This window comes from Homo sapiens, chromosome 2 (assembly GCF_000001405.40).
Source record: "Homo sapiens chromosome 2, GRCh38.p14 Primary Assembly".
Classification (NCBI taxonomy): Eukaryota; Metazoa; Chordata; class Mammalia; order Primates; family Hominidae; genus Homo; species Homo sapiens.
The window spans coordinates 148,611,822-148,633,238 of record NC_000002.12 but is presented as its reverse complement, the minus strand read 5'-3'; the positions used below and the strand labels follow the sequence as shown (position 1 = coordinate 148,633,238).

At 41.4% G+C, this 21,417-nt stretch overlaps 2 annotated features.

Annotated features, from left to right (window-relative positions):
• Nucleotides 18,692–18,821: an enhancer, noted in NCBI's record as "active region_16619". NCBI's record gives its function as "activates an Ori minimal core promoter by ATAC-STARR-seq in GM12878 lymphoblastoid cells {active_cell/tissue: GM12878}" and the evidence as "EXISTENCE:reporter gene assay evidence [ECO:0000049][PMID:35858748]".
• Nucleotides 18,823–19,428: an enhancer, noted in NCBI's record as "OCT4-NANOG-H3K27ac-H3K4me1 hESC enhancer chr2:149371380-149371985 (GRCh37/hg19 assembly coordinates)". NCBI's record gives its function as "activates a minimal SCP1, AML or CMV promoter by ChIP-STARR-seq in primed H9 embryonic stem cells {active_cell/tissue: H9 hESC(primed)}" and the evidence as "EXISTENCE:reporter gene assay evidence [ECO:0000049][PMID:30033119]".

The window sequence follows — 21,417 nt, the reverse complement described above, 5'->3', positions numbered from 1 at the left end:
TCCTCAACCGTTAAAGTGAGGGGTTATCTACAATGTTCATTTTAGTTCTAAAATTATACAGAATCAAAAGAAGTCATATTACTCTTCTGTACTGCTTCAAGATAAACAGGGCCAGATGTGAGTGATAAGTTTTCAGCGTCCAGAATAGGTGACTTTTTGTCCTTTAAAAAAAATTGAAACAAGCAGTATCTTAACTAGAGTCAAAATATAAAGGCTGCCAAATTTCCTACTGTTTCTGTTAGACCATAATCAAAAGTAGTCTGCATGGTAAAATATAAACTTAAGAAGAGGTTAATGTTTTAAATTGGCTTCTTAAATACTGGCTTCTTAAATTTCTTTATTATTAAGAATATATTTTTGTCTAGGCTGGGCGCAGTGGCTCATGCCTGTAATCCCAGCACTTTGGCAGGCTGAGGCAGCAGATCACTTGAGGTCAGGAGTTCAAGACCAGCCTGGCTGACATGGTGAAACCCCATCTCTACTAAAAATACAAAAATTAGCCAGGCATGATAGCGCATGCCTGTAATCCCAGCTATTAGGGAGGCTGAGGAAGAATTGCTTGAACCTGGTAGGTGGAGGTTGCAGTGAGCCAAGATCGTACCACTGCACTCCAGACTGGGCAACAGAGTGAGCCTTTGTTTCAAATATATATGTATAAATCTTGACTATCTTTTAAAGAAAGTACCAGAAATTAAACACTTTGAATGGGTTAAATTATCAGTTTATTATTACCACAACCCATATTTTGATGCCCTTTGAATAACGTGAGAAAAAAATATTTTTAATTATTTTCTGAACGCTTATAAAAAAGATGAGACTATGATATAGAATTAAGACATACAGGGCTCTTGGGACAGAAAAATCACAGGGAGCAGTGGGGAAGAGAACTGACACTCAGGGCACAATCTCATCACCAGGCACTATACTAGACTCTTCTAATTCATTTAACAAATAATTATTAAATACTTGCTATGCCTAACCTAAGAGCTGAGCATGGAATGGGGAGTAAGAAAGACATGGATGTTGCCTTCACTTAATCCAGTAACAATCTTTAACAATCCATTATTATTGACCTATGTTCTTTGCACAGGTTACTTGGTATTTTATTGCAACTAATGAAGTTTACAACGTTTCCTCTGGCCCAGTGTGGTGACTCTCATCTGTAATCCCAGCACTTTGGGAGGCCGAGGCTCGTGGATCACTTGAAGTCAGGAATTCGAGATCAGCCTGGCCAACATGGTGAAATCCCATCTCTACTAAAAATTCAAAAATTAGCCAAGTGTGGCGGCACATGCCTGTAGTCACAGCTACTTGGGAGGCTGAGGTGGGAGAAATGCTTGAACCCAGGAGGTGGAGGTTGCAGTGAGCTGAGCACTCCAGCCTGGGCGACAGAGTGAGACTCTGTCTCAAAAAAAAAAAAAGTTTCCTCTTACCCCTTGCAAGATATAAACATACCTTTCCTTTTCCATCCTACAAAGCAGGTATTACTTCCTGTACTCAATTAACTAAATTAATATTAGGCTCTCACTTGTCCCATCTACCCAGACAGAGAACTTAATCAGAAAATTTAACAACAGCCTGAAATTTCCTTGGATTTCATAGAGTTCAATACTAGGTTTTTTTTTTTTTTTTTTTTTTTTTTTTTTTGGTCAAATACACGTAACATAAAATTTACCATCTTAACCATTTTTAAGCGTATAGTTCAGTATCATTACGTATGTTCACGTCGTGCAACCAATCTCCAGATTTTTTTAATCTTGCAAAACCAAAACTCTATACTCATTAAATAATAACTCCCCATTTTCCCCTATTCATTTTCTATGATTTGACTACTTTGATACCCCATACAAGTGGAATTATACAGTGTTTGTCATTTTGTATCTGGCTTATTTTACTTAGCATAATATTTTCCAAGTTCATCCAATTTGTAGAATGTGTCAAGATTTCCTTCCTTTTTAAAGCTGATTAATATTCTACCTTCTGGCCAGGCGCAGTGGCTCACGCCTGTAATCCCAGCACTTTGGTAGGCTGAGGTGGGCGGATCACGAGGTCAGGAGATCGAGACCATCCTGGCTAACATGGTGAAACCCCGTCTCTACTAAAAATACAAAAACAAAATTAGCCGGGCATGGTGGTGGGCACCTGTAGTCCCAGCTACTCAGGAGGCTGAGGCAGGAGAATGGCATGAACCTGGAAGGCGGAGCTTGCAGTGAGCCAAGATCGCGCCACTGCACTCCAGCCTGAGCGACAGAGTGAGACTCTGTCTCAAAAAAAAAAAAAAAAAAAATTCTGCATTCTGTTTATCCATTCATCTATCGGTGAACACTTGGGTTGCTTCTACCTCTTGACTATTGTGAATAATGCTGCTATGAACATGGGTATGCAAATATCTCTCTGAGATCTTGGTTTCAATTCTTTGAGATATACCCCAAAGTGAAATTGCTGGATCATATGATAATACTATTTTTAATTTTTTGAGGAACTGCTAGACTGTTTTCCATAGCAGCTGTACCGCTTTACGTTCACACCAACAGTGCACAGCGTTTCAACCTCTGTACCTCTTCTCCAACATGAAATTTTATGTGGTTATTTTATAGTGGCCACACTAACAGTGTGAGGTGATATCTCATTGTGGTTTTGTTTTGCATTTCCCTGATGATTAGTAATACTGAGCATCTTTTTGTATGCTTGGTGCCCATTTGTATATCTTTGGAGAAATGTCTATTCAAGTCATTTGCCCATTTTTAATTTTTTTTGTGGTTATTAACTTGAATTCTATATTGCTTTGTTTGAATATTTAATGTAACCAGTAAAAAAGCAGGAAATGAATTTAGGGACCACCCATTAAAAATCATAAAGAACAAAACCAAGGTGTAAATGGGAGATAAATTTTCTGGTGTTTTGTGGAGCTGATCCCAATTTCCATGCCCCACTCCATGTACATATTTTCTTTTTCTGTCTGTCAGAGCCAGGAGACAATTGTCAATGAGGACCTTTCTTTTCCAAAGTATCAGATAGGCCTTCTCAGTGAAACTTCCACCTGTGTGCTGAGGAAGGTGAAACTAGGAAGTGGTGGAAAGGAACCCTGGCAAATGCAATCAAAGACTTTCCCCATCATGGCCCTAGTGTTATTGTTCTTAATCAGAGAAGATAAAAGTTATGACTAACCATAACACTGGTTTACCAGCCTTTTTTAAATTTTTTAATTTTTTTAATTTTTTTTTTTAGACAAGGTCTCACTCTGTCGCCCAGGTTGGAGTACAGTGGCATGATCACAATTCATTGCAGCCTCAACCTCCCAAGCTCCAGTGATCCTCCCACTTTTGCCTACCAAGCAGTTGGGACTGCAGGCTTATGCCACCGCGCCTGGCTAAATTTTTTTTTATTTTGTAGAGATGGGGTCTCTCTATGTTGCCAGGGCTGGTCTTGAACTCCTGGGCTCAAGCGATCCTCTCGCCTTGGCCTCTCAAAGTGCTGGTATTACAGGCATGAAGCCATTGTGCCTGGCTGGTTTACCAGATATCTTGACCCAAGTTTGAGACTCTATGCCTGGTTGAATTTATGTCAAAAATTGGGTGACTCCTCCATAAAAATTAAACAGAAAGCACACTGGCTAAGTATTTTGAACTTTTTAGAGTATTTGTCTGCTCTCATCCCTGGAATAAAGAGGAGATATTGGGGAGAGAGGAAAGTGTTACAAACATTTCTTTTCCATAGATCATGTCTCTGGGACTTTCACCTTTCTCACTTCATCCGTCCGAACATTCAGTAATGCCTACCACACTTTCTACTGAGTAAGTAGGCTTTCAACTAAGTGCTATGAGGGTTTAAAGATGAGAAAGTGTCCATTCTCAGTGTATACTGCCTAGCATAGGAGACAAAACACGGACACAGTTAACTATGGTGCAACATAGAAAGTGATAATTATCTTAAGAGAAACCCACACCAAAAAAATGCTATGGGGAGAGAAACTATGGAGAGATTACAGCTGGCTGATGGGCTTGGGAATATGTCAGAGAAAGCTCTAGGGAGGAAATACTACCTGGTGCTTGAAAAAGATGTGAACAGGTGGAAATGGGACAAGAAGTTCATTCTTGGTAGAAAGAAAAACAATCCCATCAAAAAATGGGCTAAGGACATGAATAGACAATTCTCAAAAGAAGCTATACAAATGGCCAACAGACATATGAAAAAAGGCTCGACATCACTAATCATCAGGGAAATGCAAATTAAAACTACAATGCAATGCCACCTTATTCCTGCAAGAATGGCCATAATTAAAAAATAAAAAAATAATAGATGTTGGCATGGATATGGTGAAAAGGAAACACTTCTACACTGCTGGTGGAAATGTAAACTAGTACAACCACTATGGAAAACAGGTCAAGATTCCTTAAAGAACTAAAAATAGAACTACCATTTGATCCAGGAATCCTGCTACTGGGTATCTGCCCAGAGGAAAAGTCATTATACAAAAAAGACACTTGCACCTGCATGTTTATCGCAGCACAATCTGCAATTGCAAAAACACAGAACCACCCAAATGCCCATCAGTCAATGAGTGGATCAAGAAATTGTGATATGTATATGAATACTATTCAGCTATAAAAAGGAATGAATAACGGCAACCTGGATGGAATTGGAGACCATTAGTCTAAATGAAAACTCAGGAATGGAAAACCAAACATCATACGTACTCACTTAGAAGTGGGAGCTAAGCTATGAGGATGCAAAGGCATAAACATGATACAGTGGACTCTGGGGACTCTGGGGGAAGGGTGGGAGTGGGACGAGGGTTTAAGACTACACACTGGGTACAGTGTACACTGCTCAGGTAATGGGTGCACCAGAATCTCAGAAATCACCACTAAAGAATTTATCCATGTAACAAACACCATCTGTTCCCCCAAAACCTATTGAATAAATTTAAAAAAAAAGAAATGTGTGAGCAAACACACAAAGGGAGGAAGGATAGGATGCATTCCAGAATCAGGAACCCAAAGGATGGAGCATAGTGAATCCAAAGATGTAATCAACAAAGCTTCCAGTTCTGGTTTTGCCTACTAATGGCTATATGGTCAAAATACTTAGTTTCTCTCATTCTCAGTTTTTATTGTTGCAGATAACAGAATACCTGCCAATCCCACAGTGTTATTGTGAATATGTGATATAGTAAAGTGTGTGAAAATGCTATATAAACCACAAAAAGCTATATATATTGCTATGATCTGAATGTCCTTCAAAATTCGTGTGTTACATCTTCATTGCCAGTGTGATTGTATTAAAGGGTGGGGCATTTAGGGGATGATTAAGTCAGGAGGGTACAGCCCTCATGGATGGAATTAAGAACCTTATAAAAAGGCCTAAGAGGGTGGATTCATTCCCTTCTGTCTGTTCTGCCATGTGAGGACACAGAATTTGTCCCCTCCAGAGTATGCAGCAACATAGTGGCATCTTAGAAGCAGACAGCAGCCCTCACCAGACATGAAACCTGCCAGCACTTTGATCTTGGACTTCCCAACCTCCAGAAATGTGAGAAATAAATTTCTACTTTTTATAAATTACTAAGTCTCAGGTGTTAGCAGCACAAACCAACGAAACCAATGTGTTATAGCAGCACAAACCAATGAAGACACAAGAGGATAGTGTTTTTATTGGTAGGTTGGAGCCCAATGATGGAAGGCTTGAACATCAAGCTAAGGAGTTTGAATAAGTCACCTGCATCAGACCAAGCAAGGTCCTGCTCTGAGACTTCCCATTGCTTCCTAGGGGAAGTCTGGTTGCTTATTTTACATAGTGTAATATAATCTAGTATACCAGCTGTGTACACATTTGGTAAATTACACACTCATAACTCACATTAAATCAATTTGCTACAGATTCAGTTTTAAGTGCAGCCTTCAAGTTTCCCTGTTTTCTTCTCCTATACTCTGACAGGTATGTCCTCTGGCCTGTATATGGTGGCCACTATTTCAGATTTCTTATTCTTACAACTACTACTCTTAGGCTCACACTAGGCCACTCCTCCCAGCTCCACTGATCCCTAAAGAATAAACTCAGTCCTGATCTAGGACCCAGAAGCCACTAGTCACTTCAGATTGAAATTAATTCCCTCTTCACACAGGGAATCAAACAATTTAATTGATTAAAGATAAGTATATTTATACCAGACAATGTCTCAAAGAATCTTCAGTAGAAGTCTAACTTTCATTAGTTCTAAATTTCTGGTGGTTTTTATTTTATGCTAAACTTTTGGGCTGCCACTAAAAATGGATTATTTGCAAAATTAAAACCATTCAAAATGAAGACAAAATGAACTCCTTGTGATGTGGTAGCCTTTTCATTCCTGTGGCCCACCCACTCACTGCTGTCGGTTGTGGCACCATTTCTCCATGTCTACACGCTTTTGCCTGGACTACTGCTCGTCTCTAGATCCAGTGGTCTCCTAACTAGATACTCTTTCCCAGTCTTGCCTTCCTTCCTCCCATCCAGTTCCCACAATGATACCAGAGTGCTCATTCTGAACATGTAAATCTGTTTCTGCCTTTCCTTTGCTTCTTAGCATGGCGCACAGCCCTCCACAACCTCACCCCCTGCCACTGTTCCATCCCTCACAACCCAAGCCCCAACATCCACATCCTTTATATCATAGCACACACCCACTGCACTCCAAGCAGACCATGCTGTTTCACAATTTCCTTCTTTTTCCATATGCTATTCCCTGGAATTTCTGCTCGGTATCCTCCTATCCCACTGTCAGATCTCGTCTGTATTAACTGCTTCTCCGCTAAGACTCCCTGACAGTGATGCCCTCTCATCCTCCCCCAACCTTGGTCATCATTGATTCAGGCCTACTCTCAGCACTTCATGTAAAATTAACTCTGTGGGAGCATTATTCATATTGTGTTATCATTGTTTGTTTGCTTATCTGTCTCCTCACTAGATCCTGAGTCTTTATTTTGCCAAGCCCTGATATCTAGGACAGTTGAGCCCAATAAATACTTGTTAAATGAAGAAATAGAGTAGCTATAGGCCCTGACTTTACAAAGCACTTCACAAGTCTTAGTTCTCTTTCACCCTTTCTCCTATCCCCTATTCCGTTTATTTCTTAAGAACCCTAATTTCCATTTCAGCTCAACTCCTATGGGGACCCCATCCACAAATGTCTACTTTTAGGGAGTCACCTTACCAATTGAGTGGAAGAGGTCATTTTCTGTTTTCAAGCAACATTCATCTAGAGTAAAAGAAAAATCCTCACATCCGGCAACTATATTTCACTCTCTTGCATGAGTCAAGCTTTCAGTTATACATACATTTTGAAGAGAAATGGTTTTGCCATATTCATTCCTACCCTTGCCTTTTAAAACAGGATTTTATCTGATGTAGGTAATGACAGAAAAGAAAAATAGAGATGATATCCCAACCAATTTAAACCAGAAATTTAGTCAAATATTTGATGCCCTTTCTGTGCCAGGCTAGGTGTGAGGCTAGATCTTTGCACATGTTCTTCTGTTCTCTCTGGCTGGAATCATTTACCCGGTTGAGGTTTCTCAACCTTGGTGCAATTGACATATGGGGCCACGTAATGCTTTGTCATTGGGGGGCTCTCCAGTGTTTCTTACAATGTTAGCAGAATCCCTTGCCTCTACCCACTAGATGCCAGTAGCATCCCCAAGTTGTGACAACCAAAAATATCTCCAGACATTGTCAAATGTCCCCCTAGGGACAAAAATCATAACTGGCTGAGAATCACTGACCTAACTGATTCCTACTCATCTTTCATATTTTAACTAATATGTCGTCACCTGCTGGTAGCCTTCCTTGACCCCTCAGAATAAATCTAATGTCTCATTATATATTTTTTCCCTTTTTTATTTTGAGACAGAATCTCTCTCACCCAGGTTGGAGTACAGTGGTGTGATCTTGACTCACTGCAACTTCTTCCTCCTGGGCTCAAGCCATCCTTCCACCTCAGCATCCCAGGTAGCTGGGATGACAGGTACATGCCACCAGCCCTTGCTATTTTGTTTGTTTGTTTGTTTTTTGTTTTGTAGAAATGGACTCTCACCATGTTACACAGGCTGGTCTTGAACTCTGGAGCTCAAGCAATCCACCTGAACTACTGAGCTCAAGCAATCCACCGACCTTGGCCCCCCAAAGTGCTGGGATCTCATTACATGTTTTTATAACATTGTATAACATTTCCTCATAGCATGTATCAAGGTTTGCAATTACACAGTTATTAGCATGCTTATTGTTTTTCTCCTAAGCTATAAGCTCTATGAAAGTAGAAACTGGCTCTGTTTTGCTCACTATTGTGTGCTCTGTCCTTAGCACAGTATCTGACTTATAATAGGTACGCCATAAACAAGTGGTATATTCTCTTCCCTCAGTGGCAAAACTTTAAAAAATTCAAAGAAAATGTAGGTGTGAGCCATGGGCAATATAGTTTGAAAGGGATGGGTGCTTTTGATAATATTCTTTCTATGTAATTGCGAGAGAGTGGAGAGCAGCTGTGAACCTAATGTGGGAGGAAAGTCTCTGAAGAGACACTATAGGGGAATGAAGAGACAGACAGAGAGATGTTTGCATCTGCAAGAATTGTGCCATGGAGGCTACCACCCAGAAGGAGCTGAGGTTCATGTAATGCCTAGACTACAGGAAGGACTTTGCAATACCATGTTTAGATGGCAGGACTCTACCTGCATGAAAAAATGACAGTAGCAGTAGCTGTGGCCCTTAAGGGAACCCAGGAGAAGCTAGGGGAGCATGTGTGGGATCTACTCCTGGCTTCTGATACATTCTGCATCCATGGCTAAATTTGAAACAAAATCAAAAATTTATCTTTCCTTTAATGAATGAATAACAGATGATTTTCCTTTATGAAGATGTAAACAAGACAGGAACTAAAGTATTTCCACTTATCTATCTGCTGTCAAGACCATCTAAATAAAGGGTCTTAAATTGTTCATGTTTTCTTGCTCTAAATTGTTTTTGTTTTGATTTGTTTGTTTATTTCAGGGCTGGGTCTGGGCAGGAAAAAGATAGGCTTGATATGGGTTTGTTTAGGGAGCATGTCGAGAAACCTCAAGGATTGTGCCATATCTAGGGTCTGGTAACAGTGAGGCCAACACTAGGCCTGGCGGGGTGTGGTGGGAGAGGGAGAGAGGGAGAGACAGGAGGAGAGAGGGAGAGAGAGGGAGAGAGAGAGAGAGAAAGAGAGAGGGAGGGAGAGAGGGGGAGACAGAGAGAGAGAGAGAGAGAGAGAGAGAGAGAGAGAGAGAGAGAGAGAGAGAGAGAGAGAGAGAGAATGAACTATATAGATAAAGTGGGCCGCCTGCAATGAGCTGTGGCCTTCAGAAGAAGGATGCAGTGACCAGGCAGTCAGACAGCACAGAAAATAAATCAACGCCCAACTTCTTCACTCTCCCCGGCCCCCACATCTGCTGTTGCTCCTCATTGGTAGCAATCAAGTCCTGAAGCAGGCAAAATTGCCTGCTGATTCAGTCCACAAAGATGAGTCCCTTGGGGGCCCAAGAAAAGGAGAAGAAGGATGGAAACAGGAGACGGGAGGGTGGCAGAAAATATCCAGCACGTCCATTGTGTACCACTTTCAGAGGGTGGACCACAACCTTATTTCAGACTTGACACCAACAATTTGTAAAATAGCATTGAATTTGGGACATAGTGTTTTTACTGGGAGATGGTATATAAAGTAGATGCAACATAAAGAAATCCTACATGTCTGTCTCAGAGACTTGATAATTTAGTCTTAGCCATTGTATTGGCTCAGACTAAAAACTAGGCTAGCACCAACCTCCAAGCCCCCTGTGACACTCTTGAGCATGGCTGCAGGAAAGAGACTGAAGGAATAAAACTTAACTATACCACCACCTCTCTCCTTTAGGGGTGTGACAGGATCACACAATACCATCATAAATCTTCTCTTTCATTTTGCTATGAAGGAAGTAGAAGAGGCAGAAGTTAAAAAAAAAAGAAAAAAAGCCATGGCCTGAGATATGAGTGAAAGTTTGAGCCTTGTTTTTTTGTTTTTTTTTGTTTTTTTTTTCAGGGAGGGAGGGAGTAAGAGAAGCAGTTGCTGTTAGGATGAGAGGGACCTTGGGGCAATAGATGAGTAAAAAGGAATGTTAGGTTGTTTGACTGTGTGTCATTCAATATTACATTCTTTTCCCTTTGGAATTTTCTAAAACACCTAACAAAGGATTTAAGTTGCATCCCAGTATTTTATTTGAAGAAGAAAGTGGATAGAGACCCCAAGTTATCCTAGCCTTAATTTAGGCTACAGAAGCAAAGAACAGATGGCCATCTGGACAGAGAGCCTTTTCTAGGAGGAAAGTACAAAAAGCATGGGAACTCAGAGATGCCAGCCTCTGTAGGCTAGCATGTAGGGCTAGGTGAACTCTTTTACCCTCATCCCCATTTTCCAGGAAGAGAAAACACTTTCATCAAGTGTAATATGAAGGGTTTATGGGCGAAGAAGTACAGCTCAGCTCAACATACTAATAGACTCAAATATTAAGGAATGGGTTGGCAGCCACACTTACAAATAGACTCCCTTTCAAGATAACAAAGACTACTAGGGATGACTGTACTTGCTGTCTGAGATCAAGCCTTGGCTTCTGCCTGTCCCATCATCTCTTGAGTCCTGATCTGGGCCTGTTGCCCATGTTCCCATCTGTCCTGCTCACTGCTTGGCACTCTTTCCCATTCATAACCTCAGCCTCCACGTGTTTGTGCCTTTGATGAGCCCCTTCTGCAAACTCTAGCCCTAGCATGTGTGTGAATTCCAAGTTGTGATAACTGCTTTTCTCAACAATATATTTCTTCCAGTCTTGTTCGAAATTCTTGACACTATCTTGGCTCTGCATATATACTATTCCTATAGCATAACCAGAAGCTGCCGGGATCTGATGCTAAACCAAGTTAAGAGCACATCAGCCTGGCCAAGGCCGACTATCTCAAATTCCTGCAAACCAATATTGTATCACTGATATTTATTGGATTTTTTCCTATAAGCCCAGCACTTTGCATCAATTATCTCGTGTGAACATACCTATATGTAAGACAGTACTACCTTTCCTGTTTTATAGATGAAAATACCAAGAACGACAAGGGTTGAGTGACTTTCATAAGGTCAGGTAGCCTGCTGGTGGAGCTGGGGTTGGAACCCAGGCATTCAGACTTCTGAGCCTGTGATTCGACCACTATGCTACATGTGCCCAGAATGTGTCTCATCCTCCAGAAAGGAGATGACCCGGGACCTTCACATAAGCCATGCCTTCTGGTCTGGAGCACCTTCCCTCATGCTGTACATGATGGGCTCCTTCTCGCCCTTCAAGTCTGTTTCCATATGTCCTACTCATAGAGGCCTAGACTGTCTCTCCTGTTTGTATACATCCTGTTCTTCTCCTTCGTTGCATTTATCTCAATAAATATTCCTTGGCATGTTTACTATCTAATGTCTTGTCTTGCTCTGCAAGTGATGGGACTGGGTATGTTTTGCTCAGCACCATATTCCAACACTCATCTCAGCAACTGACCCACAGTAGACATCACACCTTTCAAATAGACAAATAAATGAATAGACTCCCTTCTGGTATTCTCATCTTAGAACCTTGCAAAGTTTCATATACTATCTAAATTATTGAGTCTGTGGCAAATGCTTTTTACTGTTTGCTTATTGCTGAGAAGGCAAACTTCTTTTCCTCTGAGGGTAGGTTTTACTTATTTATAGATAAAAGTCTTTTGAGGTCCAATTTGCAATGAGCAAGTTTGTCACAATCAGGTAATCTAACGTCAGTTCAAAATGCCTTGTGATTATAAAGTGGTAAGATCATGCGTGTGTGGCCTGCAGCAGAGGGGTGCTGATGGCTGCCTAATGTCAGCAGTCCTAAGCAGTGTACAGTCTACAGGGCGCGACTCAATTGGTTGCATAAGTTCTAGCACATCTGTTCAAGATAACTTTATTGCTTTCTAATTAGGGTTTCAATGTGCCTGTTTAGCCTAGAGTCCTCAAACCTTTTGGACTTAGGATCTGTTTATAATTTTAACAATTATTGAGGGCTGGGCACAGTGACCCATGCCTGTAATCCCAGCACTTTGGGAAGCTGGGGTGGGTGAATCTTCTGAGGTCAGGAGTTCAAGACCAGCCTGGCCAACATTTGAAATCCCATCTCTACTAAAAATACAAAAATTAGCCGGGCATGGTGGTGGGCGCCTGTAGTCCCAGCTACTCGGGAGGCTGAGGCAGGAGAATCACTTGAACCTGGGAGGTGGAGGTTGCAGTGAGCCAAGACTGCACCACTGCACTCTAGCCTGGGCAACAGAGTGAGACTCTGTCTCCAAAAAAAAAAAAAAAATTATTGACGACCCTCAAAGAGTTTGTAATAAGAATTATATTTATTTATATTTACTATGCTGAAAGTTAAAAATGAGAATCTTAAAACATTTATTGTTTTGGTTGAAGTATACATATTATACATATATACCTATAGCATACATATGTGTATATATTTGCTACATGTATATACACACATATATGTATATATACTCACATATAGCATATACATATAGTATTGGTATATGTGGGTGGAAAAAGAAGTATTTTTTAATAGCCCTTTTAGATAATTGTGGATATTCTGATACTATACCAAAATTTAACAATTGGTAGTTTCTTATAGGCTAGTTCAATATAAAATATGGAACCCTATAAAGAAAATTTTTATACTGTTACATTAAAGTTCATTCCTCTATCTTGCACTTTGAATGGACCTAGGTGTAATTTTGTAATGTCATGTATTTGGTCACTTGGAAAATACCATTGACTGAGTTAGGCACATCTTCTAGTATCATGTGACCAGACAATACTCCTGTAAAACAATGTAAGTCTGAGAGTGGAAAATGGTTTCAGAACCAGGAGAAGAAAAACAATGTGGGAGAGGAGAGACTCAGTTATAGACAAGATAAGCAATTTTTGTTACAATGTATCTGATATGGTTTGGCAATTTTCGTTACAATGTATCTTATATGGTTTGGGTGTCCCCACCCAAATCTCATCTTGAATCCTGGTTCCCATAATCTCCACGTGTTGTGGGAGGGACATGGTGGGAGGTAATTGAATCATGGGGGTGGTTCCCCCATGCTATTCTCATGATAGTAAGTTTTAACAAGATCTGATGGTTTTATAAGGGGCTTCCCCCTTCACTTGGCTGTCATTCTTCTCTCTCCTGCCACCATGTGAACAAGGACTTTTTTGCTTCCCCTTCCACTATGGTTGTAAGTTTCCTGAGGCCTCCCCAGCCATGCTGAACTGTGAGTCAATTAAACCTCTTTTCTTTATAAATTACCCAGTCTCGGGTATGTCTTTATTAGCAGCATGAGAATGATGAAGTAATACGGTATCTGGGTAGAAACACATTATAGTTGTGCTGATTCTAGACTCTGCCTTACTTTGCCTATGATATGCTTCAGTAACAATCTTCATGGTCAGTATGTCTTGCTGGCTTCTACAAGTTCCTGTTTCTCAGAATACACAGAAATATGAGTTTGATTTTTAGGGGAAAAAGGAGGAGGAGGAGGGAGGAATTCAGGGAGGAGATGTCTTACAGACCAGAATTTGCCTTTTGGCAGAAATTTGGCTACTCCTCACCAGTCCGATTTGAGCTCTTACTTCTGGCTAATTACACTACATCTCTCTCTCTCTGGGGTGCTGATGGTAGCATTCCATGGCTATTAATAAATGCCTCATGACATTTGGGAGAGGACAACTTTGTGAGTGAGGAAAGCTTTATTAATTTGGGGGCAAGGTTTTATGTTTAAAATGAAAAGTACCTTTAAAGAATGTTGCAGCCATAGAGTTGTTCTCAGGGTGGAGCACAGTTCTCTGTAAGCATACTGTGTTCACAGTCAAGAGCAGTGAATAGAGGAGTAAGCCCATCTTTTAATGTGTAATGTTGAACAAACCAGGATGTTGCATTTTCATGGCTGGCGCTAGGCTTGGGGAGCCTTGCTGAGGGGGCCATGGAGGTAGAATCTGGATGAAATGGGAGACAGAGGAGAACAAGCTATATTAATCATCACATCCATGCAGCTTGACTGTTGTCAGGGAAAACAACATTTTCTGGGTTTCTTTAGCATCTTCTCTGACTCTAAATTGTGCAGGCAGAGTTCTGCTGGGCAGAACTTACTGCACCCTGAGAATTTTAGGTATCCACCAAAAACTCACAGTAGCACCAGGCCAGTGAGCCTGAAACACTGACGAATGTCACTGACTGGCAGGCCTCACTCTGAGACTGCAGAGGCAGGGCATTTAGGGGGACATGGTGATGGAATTTCAGAAATGGGTCAGCAGCTACCTCATGTTCCTGCCCTATGATGGATGATATGGACACTGCTGGAAGCCCTGACTGGTGAGTTGGAATCAAGAGAATGTGCCTAATCTGCTGTGTCAATGGCCAAGAGGGAAAAGATTATGAAACAGGAGAAAGGGAAAGAGAACCAGAATGTTTTTCTTCTCATGAGGAGAGGCTCATTGAAGAAAGCTCAACCTAAGCCAAGGCTGCTCATTATAGCAAAAAGAATGGTGCCTTGCATTTTACAAAGCACTTTACCATTATGGAGCATTTTCACATTTTACATGACCATAGTTGTACCTCACTACAACCAAATGAGGAAGGCAACGGGAAAAGTGAGCCTCACAGCTTGAAGAAATGCTGGGATTTTTTTTTTCTTTTTGAGACAGAGTCTTGCTCTGTCACCAGGCTGGAGTGCAATGGCACGATCTTGGCTCACTGCAACCTCCACCTCCTGGGTTCAAGCGATTCTCCTGCCTCAGCCTCCTGAGTAGCTGGGACTACAGGTGCCTGCCACCACGCCCAGCTAATTTTTGTATTTTTAGGAGAGACGGGGTTTCACCATGTTGGCCAGGATGGTCTCCATCTCTTGACCTCGTGATCTGCCTGCCTCAGCCTCCCAAAGTGCTGGGATTATAGGTGTCAGCCACCCCGCCCAGCCAGGAAATATTTTTAAAATAAGGAAATATACAAGTTGTAAAAGCTGCCCATATATTGAAGCCACAAGGCTGTTCCTTGGTGTAAAGCTAAAGATAGGAATGAATGCCAATATGAACGCTTTTTAGAAAATTTTCTTTCTGATGTCATGAAAAACAAGAAGGATCTCACCTTTCTTTCAAATGTAGAACATTCGCAATGTGAACAGAAGGTATTCTGTTTTGGATATTTCTGATGAGATCTTTACATTTTTCTTTTCTTTTTCTTCAAAACAAGAATAAAGGCTTCTGGTGACTTTCACTTTGACTTTGTTCTTATTACTCCAAGGTCATTAATAGTTGACAGTACACACCATTCTAGTAATAAGTATTTGTTTGGTACTTGGGTAAAATTGCTAGCATGTATGGCTGTCTCAGCCTTGAGCTGCCACTGGCTTCCTCTATACCTAGAGTCAGAAGAACTGGGTTGTAATCTGCAACAACTAGCAAAAGACTCAACTTCTTTGAGCCCAGGTTTCCTATCTGTAAAACGTGATAGTACCTACTTCGTAAGTTATAAGAGCCAGAACAAAGGAGATATCACACAGACAAAAGTATACAGAACAAGTGCACGGCATGTTAGTATAGAGTAGACTCACTCAATATTGTGCTGGAGTTGATTAGTATGAATGCACAAGGGCTGATTATTATATTTTCAGGAATTCTGCTAGCCAATTGCTAAACCATTGGCAGCTTGAAACCGACTGTGGTGGGAAAATTTACACCACAAAAATCAACAGTCATAAATCAGGGTTCGTCCCCAGCTAGTGGCTAAAGATTTACAAGCGCATCACCACTGCTCATGATAATGTATGTTTCGCTCTTGGTTTTCAATTTCCTATTTGGTATTGTTCTAAAAATGTGATGAACTAAATATTTTGGGGATATAAATGTCTTTAAAAATATAAGGAGTGTTCTTTCACTGGGGCAGAGCCTCTGTTGGGTTAAAGCATCAGTGAAAAAAATTATGGGATTGGATTCCAGGTATCAGCAAGTTTGGTGGTTATGGGAGACATTTTTGGCTGCCTACCCAACAACCATTCCTCATCCCCCCTCCCCCCCCGCCACCTTTACCCCTTTTCCCTCATGAAAGAACTAGACTCCTTGATTTCAAGGAAGGTGGGGCCAAACCCTAATTTACAGCCCCAGGAATGGATAGTGATTGCTCTAGTCAGTCACAGGAATGTGAGTCTCCTCCACCAGTGACTGGACTGGTGATGGACATATGACTGAATTCTGGCTTTCATTCTCAGATAAAAGAAACAGACTCCTATTAGAAGAAAGCTCTTGAGCCCTTTTCTGTCCATCCACTTTGATTTGAGGATATGATGCCATGTGACCATTAGGCAACAGGCAGGGAGGAAAAAAACCAACTCCCTGAGGATGTCTGAGCAGAATAGTAGACAGTGTCTATTTCTGTGACATCACTGAGCCACTGATTGAACCCTGGACCTGCCTCTCTTTAATAATAATGGTTTAAACTACAATTATATCTCTGTGATTTGTATTCAAAAGCATTCCTAGCTAATACAGGGAGGGCAATATATTGCAAATGTAGCTGTCTTTTCAAAGTTTCCCAGATTATAATTTGTAGTTGATGAAAAAAAAAACCCATCTTTTTGGTTTTTTTGTTTGTTTGTTTTTCAAATAAGCCTACTTATAAAGCCCATCCTAGCTCTAATCTCAAATAGCACAGAGATCTGAGATTGGGGGCCATATTATGGGGAAGAGAAGACAGGCAAAGAATGGGGACTTCCCTCTGGATCTGTGTGGATTTGTTCAGCTATTATAATAGAGTTAATCAGGGATGGACATTACTGAAGTTCTTAAAGAGACTTATGCATTGACATCTTGAGATCCCACTTTTAGGGTATTTCCCTAGGTATAATATAATTAGGATCTTTTTAGGATTACTCTTAGGATCTTTTGTCCTGAGTTATTTTGAACACTTACCAAAAAGGTTATCTGGGAAATTCACTCAGAGCTGGCAGAACAATGAAGGAAGTTTTGGTGGAGATGGTGGTGGGGCACTCCAAAAGCTATACCTGTTACCCTTTCAAAGAGAGAAATGAAATTAGAAAAGAATATGCCATCATACCTGTGAGAAAATAGGAACCTGAAGAGGATGAGGATTTTCTAGCAGAGGAAATAGTAAACTAGCATGTGGAGTACTGGCCAGATATCAGAATCTGCCTCTGATCCCCTAAAAGACAGGATTCTTGAAGCCAAGCCAGTGCCATGCTAGCAGCAACAGAGTATGAGGAGGACATTTTGAAGAAGCAGCAGGCTATGTAGGTCTTGTTTCTGGAGGCAGAGGCAGAGAAATCTGTGCATGTCTGGATGGTTTCTGAGTGTCCTCACCCCAGGGGTTTTTTGCAGACTTGCTATAGGAGCAGCAGGCGCAGGAAACAGGAAATGGGATTCAGGAGGGTGTGAAAATAGCCCTATGTTCTTCATCTTCCCACTGCCCCAGTTCCTGGCTCATCTCTTCTCTGTGCAGCCTGTGACTGTGTCTGTTGGTAACTTCTTCCCATACTCCAAAGGCTATAAGCTTCAGAGAGCTCAGCTGCCAGGCTAGTGCCCAAGAGGGACAATAACGATAGTGAGAAGCTACATTCAGGGCCGTTAGCACTGGGAAATGGCAGAGAATGCTAGGAAGTCTATGAATGGCCTCCAAGGCTGTTTAGAGCTTATGAAGTCTTCCATTCTCCTTTTGCTGAAAACTCCCATGGAAGTGAAAGGAACCTCTGTCTGGTTTATTTCAAAGGGAGGTTTGTAAAAAGAAAAAAAAAACGTACTTAACTTTATCCAAGTAGCTTCTTACTGGCTAATTTTTAGAGCTAAATATCTTGACTGCTTTAAAACATTTCTTTTTCATATTACACAAAAGAACTGAGGATGGGGTCTGACAATTAGATGCATGTTCCATTTATACATTCTGTTTCTTGCTAGGGAGGTAGCCACTGTGTAAGCCCTTTTAGAAACTATTTTTAGGGAAAAACCACTCACTGATAAGAGTTCATCAGAATAAAATCAACTTAGGAGGACAGTTACTGCAAAGTATTCTTGTTATTTGGGATCAATGAACTCCAAATCCCTTGAAGCTGTTGCAGACCCACAAAATAAGTCTGTTCACCTGTTCACTTGCTAGCGAGAAAAGTAAGCAAGAATGTGCCCGGGGCACTTTTGAGTCATGGCCTGTATTTGGGGGGTATGAGTGGAATTCCAGAAGTTATGTGTAAATGAATAAGCATAACAACCACTTCACTTCCCTCACATGCAGGAAGCAGGCACAAAAAAAGGAGTGTGTGTCTGTGTGTGTGTTTAAGCTATAATCCTGCTACAATTACATCATTCAAAACAACACTATAAATAGTTTCAGTGACAGAGACACATTCAAGTTATCTCAAAAAATGTGTGCTGAGAGCAGTGCTTATCCTACTCCTGCTGCTGGTGATTTAAAACATTTAGGAACCCAGGAAAAGCCACATATCCTAGCCACAGGAAGAACAGGAACTGGAGTAGAGTCAGGTAAAAGGGAGAAGAGGAATTTGTCCAACTCCGCACATGTAGGCTGCCATCCATGTGACAACCAGCTACGCTTGGTGGGCCTGAGCTTCCACCTCATTATTTTTGCTTTCTCATAGTTTTTGCTTCCTCATCTTACTCAGAGTTTCTGTTTCCCTTTAGCTTCTCTGGCCACGTGTTGATCCACTGTGTGTCACAATTTCTCTCAATATACCCTTTCAGCCCCAGAGCTTGCTTCTCCCTGCCTCATTCACCAAGTATCTTAATCCATTTGCATTGCTATAAAGGAATACCTGAGACTGGGTCATTTATAAAAAGCGGAGGTTTATTTGGCTCATGGTTCTGCAGACTGCACAAGAAGCACAGTACCAGCATCTGCTTCTGGTGAGGGCTTCAGACTGTTTCATGGCAGAAGGCAAAGGGGAGCCAGTGTGTCATGTGTCAAGAGAGAGGGAACAAGAGAGAGGGAGGAAGGCACCAGGCTCCTTTTAACAATCAGTGCTGGCAGGAATCAACAGAGCAAGAATGTATTCATTACCAAGCCATTCATGAGGGTTCAGCCCCCATGACCCAAACACTTCCCATCAGGCTCCACCTCTAACATTGGGGATCAAATTTCACCATGGGACTAGGCAGAACCAAACAAACAATCTCCAACCATAGCACCAAGTATCTTCTCATCCTTTTTCTGGGAGAGAATTTGATGGTCCTGTTTATCTTTTTCTATACTGCTGGCCATCCTGAGGATTGATTGACCTTGGGTACAGCCAGTTGTAAACTAGGAATAAAGTCATGTGGTTCAAAGCATGACAGTCTCTATTTTTTTTTTTTTTTTTTAACAACCAGTCTCTTTCTGTAGCTCAGGCTGGAGTGCAGTGGCAAGCTCATAGCTCACTGTAAGCTCCAACTCCTGGGCTCAAGTGATACGCCCTCTTAAACCTCTCCAGTAGCTGGGATAACAGGTGTACACCACTACACATGGCTAATGTTTAAAAAAAATTTTCAGTAGAGACAGGGTCTCACTATGTTGCCCAGGCTGGTCTTGAACTCCTGGCCTCAAGAGATCCTCTTGCCTTGGCCTCTGAATGTGCCGGGATTACAGGTATGAGCCACCATGCTCAGCCCATGGCAGTCTTGGGCAGTCTCCTACCTAGAGGCAATGAATGAGGCAGTTCCTATTAATAATGGTAGGCACCATGGTTGACGTGTCTAATGTAAATGTGTGAGTATGTAGTTAAAATATCCTTTTGGCCAGGTGCAGTGGCGCAAGCCTGTAGTCCCAGCACTTTGGGAGGCCGAGGTGTGCGGATCACCTGAGGTCAGGAGTTGGTCACCTGGCCAACTTGGTGAAACCCCATGTCTTCTAAAAATACAAAAATTAGCCGAGCTTGGTGGTGGGTGCCTGTAATCCAAGCTACTCAGGAGACTGAAGCAGGAGAATTGCTTGAACCCAGGAGGTGGAGGTTGTAGTAAGCCAAGATCACACCACTGTACTCCAGCCTGGGTAACAGAGCAAGACTCCGTCTCAAAAAAAAAAAAAAAATCCTTTTAATTAAACTAATATTAAATTTTTTCATTCAGTTTGTCTAACAGGACTATAATTCATGTGTATATATATATGTGTGTGTACTTTATCCTGAGCATGAATAAACAGGGGAAAGAATATCATACTGCACGTCTTTCAACTGAAATGTTTACACCACCTTGAGCTTTTATTGACTATTCGATCTAAAGAAACCACTGAGCCAGTTGCCCCCAACTCACATCACTTTATTTCCTCCATAGTTCTTATTAGCCAAAATTATATTGTTTGTTTTATAAAGTATTGCCTCTCTTCTCCTCCATCCCCCAGAGTATAAGCCCCTTGAGAGCAGGGACTTGGTTGATCTTACAGACCACATTATTCCTCAGTACCTCAGACAGTGACTGACACAAATAAATATTTGTTAAATAAATGAATAAATAAATGTAGTTGATGATGAATGCACAAGAGAAAAATACTATGTATTCTTAAGATCTTCCACTTTAGAGTACATAAGAATCACCTGGTACTTATTAATACAGATCCCTTGCAAATATTCTCATCAAGTATTTCTAGGATGGAAACCAGGATTCATCACTGTAAACAACCACTGAGTGATTCTGATGTGATTGGTCCAGCTTTTTTTTTTTGAGACGGAGTTTCACTCTTGTTGCCCAGGCTGGAATACAATGGCGCTATCTCGACTCACCACAACCTCCGCCTCTAGGGTTCAAGTGATTCTCCTGTCTCAGCCTCCTGAGTAGCTGGGATTACAGGTATGTGCCACCATGCCCCACCAATTTTGTATTTTTAGTAGAGACAGGTTTTCTCCATATTGGTCAGGCTGGTCTCGAACTTCCGGCCTCAGGTGATCCACCTGCCTCGGCCTCCCAAAGTGCTGGGATTACAGGCGTGACCCACCGCGCCCAGCCTGGTCCAACATTTTGATAAACACTGCTGTGGGTGAACTTGTAAGATCTTCAATTTGTAATTCCCCACCCAATCAATACAAATACAAACACAGAATCACAGGGGAAGCCAACACTTGGATGATTAGAGCTTATTCCATTTGTCACCAAGGACTGTTCATGAACTAGGTGCCATCAACCAGTCTGTTGCCCCCAGTTAGATCAGAAAGTAGTGATCAAATCAAAAGTAACAAATCCTCTTCCAGTCCCAGCAAGCTACATTGCTTGGAACCCTCTCTCAGAGCAATTGATGAGTTTCTGAACCTGCCATATTGACTAGCAGACCTAATTTAAGACTTTATGTTAAGATGTATTTTTTTCTTCTACCATAA